This window comes from Homo sapiens, chromosome 21 (assembly GCF_000001405.40).
Source record: "Homo sapiens chromosome 21, GRCh38.p14 Primary Assembly".
In the NCBI taxonomy this organism is placed as follows: domain Eukaryota; kingdom Metazoa; phylum Chordata; class Mammalia; order Primates; family Hominidae; genus Homo; species Homo sapiens.
Window position 1 is genome coordinate 20,626,943 of NC_000021.9, and position 12,030 is coordinate 20,638,972.

General features: G+C 35.5%; 1 pseudogene; it reads left to right on the forward strand.

Moving 5' to 3' along the window:
- The first annotated feature begins 321 nt into the window (after positions 1-321).
- Positions 322-454, forward strand: LOC124905064 (uncharacterized; annotated as a pseudogene).
- The last annotated feature ends 11,576 nt before the right edge of the window (positions 455-12,030 follow it).

Sequence of the window (12,030 nt, forward strand, 5' to 3'; positions counted from 1 at the left end):
CACACATATATGGAAAAATGCAACTCTAAAACTCGGTACCTGAATTTAATGCCAACATGATTGCCAACTCTTCCTGGTATTTTTAAAAGGATCGATGTTAGGTCCATGTAAAAAAAAAAATAGTCAAATAAGGGTTTTCTCAGTCAACTTAGCATTTCCTCGTCCCTTCCTACGGTAGGTAACAATTGTGAAAAAGCACATGCATAGTCAATACATAAACAGAAAATCATCATTTCACTCTATGTTTATATACAGAGACATACATGGTGGGGACATCATGTAATCCGGTTCTAACATTGTCATTTAAATCGCGTAACATTAATCGCTTCTCGGCCTTTTGGCTAAGACCGAACGTAGTATCTGTTCTTATCCGTGAATCCAGTAGCATTCACTGAGACATTTGGCTCAGATCTGACATCTTATGGTCAATCTTCTATTTGCTACAGCAATTTTCCTACTCAAACTATGAGGTCTCTTCAAATCCCACTCTTTGCCTATGTCTCCCTAACTTAGGGATCTTTTGATTTCAGGTAACAGAATAATTATTAAAAAGAGAGTTAAAGAAGAGAGGTTTACTTTTACGTTTAATAATAAGTTCAGGAGGCCGAGTGTGGTGGTTCGCGTCTGCATTCCCAGCACTTTGGGGGGCCAAGGGGAGTGGATCCCTTGAGTGCAGAAGTTGGACACCAGCTTAGACAATGTGGCGAAAACCCTTCTCTACAAAAGATACAAAAATTAGCCAGGCATGGTGGTCAGCACCTGTAGAAACAGTTACTAGATAGGCTGAGGTGGGAGAATTGCTTCAGCCCATGAGGCTGAGGCTGCAGTGAGCCATTAGCATGACACTGCACTCCAGCCTAGGTGACAGAGCCAGATGCTGTCAAAAGAAAAAAAAAAGTAGTATAGGAGCAACTCGTTCTACAATTAACTCATTAAAATGACAATGTCAAGGCTCTGGGTGACTTCACTGTTCTGGTCGTCTCCTTGTGTCTACGAGTTGGATGTTATAGTTTCAAATATTATCTAATCTCATAATGATAGGACCTGAAGAGCCTCTACCGTGAGGACATGATTAAGACACAATAAGTTATGTTTAATAAGTATCCCATAGTCTTTTATCTATTATACACCACTACAGATGTATTATTTTACCTATTTCTCTAAAACATGAAATTACTTATTAGGAAAATGTAAAAGTAAAAATCACACAGAAAGACCTCATAAGTCCTATGAAAATGGCCAAAGTTGGAAATACAGACCTTGAAAAAAATGAACACAGATATATGCAAAAAGTGGGGGAGAGAACACTCATACTTAAAGGCTTATAGAATAAATGTTTTTCATAGTAGCCCAAATGACATAACCCAAATATCCATCCATCAACAGGACGAGACAAAGGATAAATTGAGTTATATACAAATACATTTGTGCACATGTACCCTAAAACTTAAAGTATAATAAAAAATAAAATAAAATAAAAAATAAAATTGAGACTTACCATTTGAAAAAAAAAAAGGAATTAGAGGACAAGTCTATTCCAAATATACTAAGTAACATTTATGAAAATCTTATGTAACCCAATTCTGAGCAATGTATGATTCCCTTTTCTCTTTCGTAAAACTAAATGAAAGCTAAAAAAAAAAATACATTGGAATACTACTGAATCATCAAAGGCGGGGAAACACTACTTACTTACTTTATTTCCAACAACCTGGGTGATTCTAAACAACATCTGAGCAAAAATTGCTAGAGGCAAAAAAAAAAAAATACATGCTGCATGATTTTATCCATGGGAAGTAAAAAGGTAGGATTGAAAAACAAATAATACTTGGTTAGGGGATTGTGAAAGTAAAGATTGACTGGGAAAAGGCGTAAGAGGTCTTTCCATCTGAGATGATCTAACTCATATATCTGATACCAGGGTGGGTCATTCAGGTATGTGCAAATATAAAAAAGTGATGTCTCACTATGTTGCCCAGGCTGACCTTGAACACTTAGGCTCAAGCAATCCTCCTGCCTCAGCCCCCCAAGTAGCTGGGATTACAGGCATGACCCTACCTGGCTGTAAATTTCACCCTAACTACGGTAATGTAAATATACATACACACACAGACACACACACACGCACTCATATAGCTACAGAACTGTAATTTTCCTAAAGATATTCTATGCATTTTTTTGACATTAGACATACGTTGGTTGAGGTAGGCTGTAAACAATATCTTGTGTTACCTAAAGTAAAACAGGGAGTTTCAATATGAGTCAAAAAAAAAAAAGTTAAGGGCTATACAAAAGTTTTTCCTGCAAACAAAATGGAAAATGTCTCTGAACTTCAGTGTTATTTCAGATCTGCTGCAGGATATGCAGAAAGCTTTCCGCCATCTTAGCTAATAACTAACAACTTATCATATCTAACAAAAGCTACCTGCCGTGGGTACAATTTGTTCATAAATATTTTTGATAATTCATGTTTTTATTCTATTAAATTGTATTCATTGGACATTTTGTCCTATTGTAATTAACAGATATGAATATGTAATTAGGATAGGAAAACATTAGTGAGCAACCCATGATTAAACTTAAACAATCCACAATATAACGTGAAAAGTGACTGATTTTGATACCAGAATTGTCTTCCTATTATCAATCTGTATCATATTATAATTGCTTCATGTAACAAAATTTTAAAATAAAAATTGAGGTAACTTCAAAAATTAATTCAACATTATATTAACAATATAGAAACTTGATTTATTTGTATAATACTTAGACATATTTTAGCAAAGGTTTATCTATGGTTGAGGGAGACACAGTATTTTTAGACAACTTTAGAAAACAAGAAAGTAATCCATTTATAATGATTCTCACTACTAAATCAAATGCTTATATTGTTCTACCTGTAAAGTATATACTGTCTCATTTTAACAACTTGCCTTTAATTTAATGAGCCTGTATACATTTAATTGAAAAGTACATAACATTTTTTCCATACACATAATAGTTTTTTAAAAAAGAAAGTCTAGATAAAATCCACTATGACTCAAATTCTTTCTCCCTCCTCATTGCAGTATTTTCACATTTGTTCTCTATTTTTCTTTCAGTTTCAAACAATTAATCCATATGAAGATTAAACATAGAAACATGATGAAAGATTATAGAGAGAAGCAAAATAACTTTAAAGACAATAAAATCAGATAATTTAATTAATGTACTTTATTAAATATATGACTTGTTTTAAATTTACCTTCTCATTTTAAGAGAATAAAAATAAACATGTTCTCAAATTCTCCAAAAATATTTAATCCAAAATATTTTTCTCTGCTTCATTTATCAATGTACCTTAAACAAGCGTAACATTTATTTTATCAGTGTGTAGGAGTAGTTATCTATTGTCTAATGGTGTTATTAAAAAGATCCATAATTTTCTTAGAAAAATCATCCACTAGGTGATATCCTTACATGTTCTTGTAACATTTTGTAAGATTTTAAACAAATATTTCATATAGAATTTATTATACTATATTTATGTCACCTATTTACTTTTATATTTTTTCTACTAAATTACAAAGTTCCTAAATCTAGGAACTATAGCTCTTTCATTACTGTATTATCAATAACATAGGTAATAATGTAACTGCCCAACGGGTTCATTTTGCCCACTATCCAGACAGAAATTGCAGTGGAAAAAGAGTAATTCATGCAGAGCCAGCTGAACAAGAGGCCAGAGTTTTATTATGACTCAAATCAGTCTCCCTGAAAATTCAGAGTGGGGTTTTTAAGAATAATTTGGTGGGCAGGGGATCGGGAAGTGGGGAGTGCTGATTGGTTGGTTTGATTTATAGGGAGCCAAAGCTGATCTCTTGCATTGAGTCAGTCCTTTCCTGGACGGGGACCATGAGACCAGGTGAGCCAGTTTATCGATCTTGGTGGTGCCAGCTTATCCATCAATTGCAGGGCCTGAAAAATATTTCCGGCACCAGTCTTAGGTTTTCCAACAGTGGTGTTTTCCCTAGGAGATATTGGGGAAGTTTGCAATCTTGAGGTCTCTATCTTCATGACTCCTAAACCGTAATTTCTAATCTTGTGGCTAACTTGTTAGTCTTACAAAGGTAGTCTGATCCTCAGGCAAGAAGGGGGATTGTTTCAGAAAGGGGATGGTATCATCTTTGTTTCAAAGTTAAACAATAAACTAAGTTCCTCTCAAAGTCAGTCTGGCATACACCCAGGAATAAACAAGGACAGCTCGGAGGTTAGAAGCAAGATGGGGTTGGTTAGGTTAGATCTCTGTCACTGTCATAATTTTCTCACTGTTATAACTTTTGCAAAGGCAGTTTCAATAGCCAATAAATCTTTGGTGATTAGGAAGTATCCTTTACTCAAAACATTTTCTAGTCACCAAAATTTTCTTTTTTTAACTTAATTTGGTAATCTTAGTTCAAATATTATCAATTTTTATTTGAGTTCACGTTTGCTAGTTTATAAAATAAATAACCTGAAAGTTTAAAGTACTGTCAGTTTTGTAGTGCTTTTCTTTCTTCTAACATACTTCTTTTTCTAACATCTTGAGGTAAATAAAAACAGAAGTAAAAATGGACATCTTTAATAAGTATATGGTGATGGAGGAAAAAAAGGATCTTTTCAAATATGTATAAATTTGGGGAGAAGCGGCTTTTGTAAGGCTAATTTACTGAGTTAGAAAGTTGAGGGTACACAGTAACTGGGGGAAACAGAAGTTTGTGATGGAGAAATAGGAGATTACCAAAGATGAACATCTTCTACTTGATATTTTTCCCAGGAAATGGGAGGCTGTTCTCATTTCCTTCTACCTCTTTTACTTCTTGACTGACTCACTACATATATATGTAGATTTGTTTCCTCATATCCATTTGTTTTTCATTTTTTACAATGAAGCTCAGTCCAAATTCTAGCTACTATACATGCTTTAATATTGTAAAAGAGGATACATAAATCTAAACTCCCACAAAGATTGTTAAAAGTATGCGTGTTTCAATACCACATTTTCAAATTTAATGTGGTATTTCTTTCAGGGCTTCCCTGAAACTGATTTTCATATCTGGCTGCTCATTCCTATAGCCTAGAGAGATTTTAAAATACACAGAGTCACACATCTGTGTATATATTTAAAGCACTCCCGGTGATTCGAACGCATAGCTATAGAAGGAGCTACTGCCGAATATTGACTAAAACAATTGATGCGCTTAGTGAACCTTCCATATATAACAGATAATGTCTTCAAAATCAGGCAAGAAAATGATGTGTTAGAATATTTTCCATATATAAGCTGAGATACAAGTGTTTACCATGTTTACCCAAAAAGAAGAGTAAAAATATCAATTTCCAAGATGAATGTGCCAGAAAAGACAGAAAATTACCTTTGAAATGCATTGTTTGCTTCCTTCTTTTTTTTTTTTTTTCTTTTTTTGTTTGAGACAGAACCTCACTCTGTCTCCCAGGCTGGAGTGCAGTGGTGCGATCTCAGCTCACTGCAACCTCCGCCTCCCAGGTTCAAGTGATTCTCCTGCCTCAACCTCCTGAGTAGCGGGGATTACAGTGGCACACCACCACGCCCAGCTAATTTTTAATTTTTAGTAGAGATGGGGTTTCACCATGTTGGCCAGGATGGTCTCAATCTCTTGACCTTGTGATCCACCCACCTTTGCCTCCCAAAGTGCTAGGATTACAGGCGTGAGCCACTGTGCCAGGCCTTGCTTCCTCTTTTTTTAAAAAAGTTTACTTTTAAAATCAAAGATATTATATTTGCCCTCTTCCCTCTCTATTTTTTCTTCTGCCATAACACAGCACAGGAGCTACCAGACCAACAATCTATTTTTACTTTTCTATTTGTAGAATCCTTTAAAAGAAAGCATGACCCATAAGAAAAGTGGTACTTAATGTGGCACAGCAATTCTTTTAATAAATGCAATACTTGTGTTCAGTAACTTAAATTTGAAAAATAAGTTTTATTTTGAAATGTCTTAAATAGGAAATTAATTTGTTAAGTTTAAGTTCCAAAAAAACAGAAATCAGTAAGAAAAAACTGCTTATAATAATGAATGCAACACTGAAATGCATGTATCTATCTATCTATATATACACACACACAAACACACATATATATATATTTAATTTAATATACACTTTTGTTTTCCACAGGGAAAAGGTGATTGATATCTCAGTTTGGCCTAGAAAGTTATTTTTTTATGTCCTATTCTGGGAAAAGACCAAGCCAGACCGGTTTACCTCAGAAATAGGTAATATATGTATCTTAGCGGAATATCTAAGATGACCTTAATTGGTGCTGGTTTGCAATGTGATTCGTGCTTCTTTATACATTATACAAAAATTGTTTAGTTTTCTAGGAAACATACTGTCTCAATAGTTTGATTTTATTTTCTATAAAGAAATTATGAATTCCAGAAAATTTCAGGTTTTAAAGACATTTCTGAACTTAGGTTGAGACCACCTGCTTACCTCAGGAAATATTGACTTTTAGGACAAACAGATTCACATAATCTATGAGCCACTGTTTCAGGAAGCTTCTGCTTCTCTGGCTTTCCATTTCCCTGTGGAGAGTCTTCATCTCAAGTAACACACCTGCCTCTCTCTTACCTCTCAGCCTCTGCTCTCTCTAGGAGGTGACCCGTGGTGAGCTTGAGAAGAAGAAAAAAATCTGAGCACATCTGGTTCTCTCCTCTACTCTTTAAAATTTTATCTGGCTGAAAAAAGAATACATTCTGGTTTATCCTTTAAGATAATCTCATCAGGGCAGCTTCTCTTCCCTTGTATACGTGGGATAGTGTGGGTGGAAATTCATGTAATGAATGGGGCTCCGGAGGAGAGGTCTGAATTGTCTACCTATGCCAATAACAAGGTCAAATACATGTTTATTCTTGTGATAAAATACTGTCAAGCTGTTTTGACTGAAATGTAAAACGATGTTTAAAATTAGTTTACATATAACTGAGCTAACATTTTGATCTCTATTTTCTAGTCCTGTCTCTAACCCTTGATTTGTTCTGAAATGTGGAAATGAACAGATAAATCTTATTTAATGGCCTTCCTGAGACCTTAACATTTTGGCACATTAACCATTGAAGTAGATGATAAGGAGTGAGATTTGGGGAACAGTTTTATATACAGAGATACAGGATCCTAGCCCATCACCGGAGGTGGTTCTGAACATATGCCTTATAGGTTTGAGCATGGTGAGTTATAGTTAGTTTCTACTACTTGCTGATGATTTTAATAATTGCTTGAATGGTTTTAATTGCAGGGAGGCAGTATCTGGATGAGCAAATACCAACTGCTTTGGTAAGAATACACAAATCTGATTTAGACCACACCTAGTCATTTGTTACTCAAACAGATTCAACTATAAGGAAGAGAGAGTGTTTATATATCTAAGCCTCTAGGTATCTGTGGACTTAGTTTCTCAGCCAGGAGCTCAAAAACACGTTCCATTTTGGAGTTTCTTACAGTATGGGCAAGTGCATTCAAACAAGCAGCCCCCAAACTGCTTATTCTTTATATTAATTTGAACTGTTTCCGGGGCCTGTTTTGGGCTAAATGCTTATATCACCTCAAAATTTGTAGGTTGTAGCCCTACCCCCAGTGTGATGGTAATTAGGAGGTGGAATATTTGCACGGTGATTAGGTTATGAATGTGTGTGGTGGGGGTCATGGTGGAATTAGTGGCCTTATGAAAAGTGGAAAACACATCAGAGCCCACTCTCCCAACTTTCACTAAAGAAAGGTCATATGAGCATACAGTGAGAAGTCGGCCAACTGGAAGCCAGGAAGAGATACCTCACCAGAGCCTGACCATGTTGGCACACTGCACTTTGGATTTCCAGCCTCCAGAACTGCAGTGAGAAAATAAATATCTATTGTTTAAGACACCTACTCTATGTCAGTTTGTTATAGTAGCACAAGGAGGCTAACACAGGGCCAAAAGAAGGAACTGTGAATAAGCTAGCCTCCTGGGTCCATGTGACTTTTTGGTAGGCGACAGACTGTTCTCTAGTTAACTAACTACATAAACTCTGAATATGGCTTTAAGAAGCAGACATCAAAACTCTTTCATCACCCATGAAAGGGAAAGGTCACACATTTTATAAGCAGAAAAAAAAATTAAAGAAATAGAGCATGTGATATTATTTAGTTGAAGTACACAAATAACTTGTTGAAATTACTGTAAATTAAAGACTTAAACATTTTCAGACATATCTATAATAATGTGAAAATCAGTTTTGCTCAAGAAATTAAGAAAATCTTGGGGTAATTTGAATAAAAAAGTTGATTATTAAGGTCAAAAATGAAAGAAAGAAATAATAAAATTAAAATAAAATACTGTTGTATACTATTCACTTGGCTTAAATGAAGATATCTGAGCATGTATAGTGTTGGAATGGCTGTGGATAAAGAATTTTCACAAATTACTGTTGAATGTGTCAATCGATAAAACTACTTTGAAACCAACAACTTGGATTTATATTGTAAGATTAAACAGATATATAAAGATACATATATCTATATATGTATATATGAATCTATATATATAGACAGATCTTATGATACAATAATTTCATACTTCTGTTTACCCAAGAGAATCTTTTTTATATATAAATCTTTTTTATATATATAAAAGTTTATATATAATTTGTATAAATGCATATATATCTTTAATATGCCTATATATGTTTGTGTATATATATGCCTGGAGCCATTTAAAGAATATGGTTCCTGATTGTTATAATGATATACTCAATATGTTCAAACTAACCAAGACACTAATCCAATGGAGAATGAGTAAACATATTACAAAAAAGTCACACAATTAAATATCACACAAGAGTAAAAATGAAGGGACTATGTAAATAAATATAGGTAACAAATACTGAGTCAAGAAAGCCAGTCCCAGAAGACCATAGGGGACAATTTTATATAAAATTCAAATATAAGTAAAATATTACATTTTAGGTAAATATATATAGAGAGAGATAAAACATACAGAAAGATGTGATAAACCCCAAAGTCAAAGTAGGAATTAATTCTATCAGTGATAAAATAGAGAAGTGCTAAAAAAAATTGTTTAATGATACTTAAATCATCAGGCTGGCTTTATTCAGGACCATTGTAATAGGTATAGAGATAACTGCAATGGGATTTTCCAGTGGGAAAGAGAGATTGGGCTTAACTCCGAATACAGCATGGGGAAGTGGGAATTTATAGCCAAGGAGCAGGGTGGGGGTTAGTGGATAGAAAATCACTAACAGGAAACATCGGGAATAAGGGGGATTCTGGCTAAACAGACCTTAAGGATTTTGATGTCACTTGAGAGATGGTAGAGAATGACAAATCTGATCAGATATTGAGGGTGATCTGATATCAAAGATAGAAGGTTCTTGGTAAACTGACTTAGCAGGGTTCTTTGCTAAAACTGGATTTTACAAGGAGGTTCATAGACTGGCCTATAAGAAAGTGCAGGAGCATGACTAAAGCTTGGCCAAAGACTCCTTTGTCATTAGGAATGTACGGATAGGAGTTGTTGGCATTCACTACTCCTTATCTTTGGCAATGTGTTCGTGGATGTTCATCATATTATTAAAATAAATATTTTAAAATAAATTAATAATAAAAGCCCCCACATGAAGTTAATGTGTAATAAATTAAATAATTTTAATCAGTTCAGGTTTTTGCACTTGAATGCCAAAAAGTAGGCGTTTCAGTAAACTTATAAACAAAAAGAAACCAAAAAAAAGGAAGAGTTGCAATTAGCTAGGCAGAAGTTGGATGAAGCAATGATAAATGAGGAGTGTTCCACATGAAGAGAACATTTGACTAAAAAATAGGCAGGGTGCTGTGGCTTACGCCTGCAATCCCAGCACTTTGGGAGGCCGAGGCGGGCGGATCACAAGGTCAGGATATTGAGAACATCTTGACCAACATGGAGAAACCCATCTCTACTAAAAATACAAAAGTTAGCCAGGTGTGGTGGTGGGCACCTGTAGTCCCAGCTGCTCTGGAGGCTGAGTCAGGAGAATCACTTGAACCCGGGAGGTGGAGGTTGCAGTGAGCCGAGATCGTGCCAATACACTCCAGCTTGGGCGACAAGAGCAAAACTCTGTCTCAAAAAATAATAATAATAATAAATAAATAAATAAATAATAATTCACAACACATGCCTCAGCTTCTGTGTGTCAGACACTACCTTATATACATTATATATATCACATACATTATACACATACATTATATGTATACATTATATATATTATATGGATAATATGTATAAACACACCCACACATATATAAACTCACACTTCTCGCAACAACCTTTTCTTCATTTTACCTAAGCAAATTTTCACATAGAAAGGTCACATAACTAGGAAATGGAAAAGTACATGCACTTCACCAATACACCATTTTGTGAGTGCCAGAATGTGCAATGGAAGAAAGTCCTAGCCAAGGAACAAAGAAAAAGTAGAAGGAAAGAAAGTACTAATACCCAGAAAATTGTGCTAGCCCTCCACAAAGACACAAATGAGAAACAGATTCAAATCTAAAACCTTGACCAAACTCTCTCTCCTAAAATAATTAGGCAAGGAACAGAAGACGAGCAAAAGAGAAAGATAAGAGTCTGCCCCCTGTCTTAGTCAGTTCAGGCTGCTAAAACAAAATATCATAAAATGGATTTCTTCTAAACAAAAGACATTTACTTCTCACAGTTCTGGAAGCTGCAAGTCTGAGATCAGAGTGCCAGTATAGTCAGATTCTGGTGAAGAACCTATTCTGGGTTCAAACTATCAACTTCTCCTTACATCCTCTTATGGTGGAGGGAGCGAGCCGACTCTCTTGGGTCTCTTTCACAGGGGCACTAATCCCATTTATGAGGACTCCACACTCATGATCTGACCACCTCCTAAAGGCCTCACCTCCTAATACCATCATCATTGAGGTTAAGATTTCAACATATGAAATGTCAAAACATGTTTTGGGGAGAACATAACTATGCTCTCCGTAATATCTCCTGACTTCAGATAAATATTGCTGTCACAGAAGCACAGATACTCAGTCCCTCAAAACTTCAACATTCAGCAATGGCCATGCTTTACAAAAAACTAGTTTTTGGAAAAGGGTGCATGCAAGGGTATTAAAGCTCCCTCTTCAATCTCCCAGAGGCTCAGACTCCAGGAGCCTCAGTTCAGGAAACCGCAGAGGCAGTTTCTTCAAAATTGCTTAATTTTTACATATTTGTAGATATCCCACATTTTCTCTCTGTTATTGATTTCTGATTTGATTTCATTGTGGTTGGGGAAGATACTTTGTATGATTTCAGTCCTCTTAATTTTAGTGGGACTTATTTTATGACTTACTATATGTCCTATCATGGAGAATAATCCATGTGTACCAGAGAAACAAATATTTTGAAATAAGTAGGGTTTCTAGGGTAAGCAGTTTCATACGAAGACTCAGAGACAAAGCCTAAAATACCAACTCTCAAGAGACCAGAGGACAGGAGTGCTGTGTCACTCAACAAAGCCACATCCACTGAAGACCAAGGACCAGGAGTACAGGGCTCCATGGGGAAGGGCAACTTAGAAAGTTTTGGATTTGCTGCAGATTTGTTGACTTTTCAAGAGGGCACTGATGTATTCGGTCCCTCTCTCTGACAGAGAAGACACCCCCTCTCCTACTTGATAACTGAATGATGCCATAGTTACTACCTGATGTGCAGTTCCTTCAAATAGAGAGGAAGTACACTGGCCACAATCTCTGAACAACAGACATAGAGGACTGGCTTACAGGGGAAGCTAAATTTTTCACTTTATCATGGAGCACTAAACCTCTGCTATTGTATTTGGCAACAGAAATGAGGATCAAGATTAAACAATGAGTGCTGAGTCTCAATCCATTTGGGGAACCTGCTATAGTAGCGGAGGTTTCGGTAATTTTTAAACGTAATGCATAAAGATTGATTCTGAGAAGATATTGTGTGTTGCACTCTTA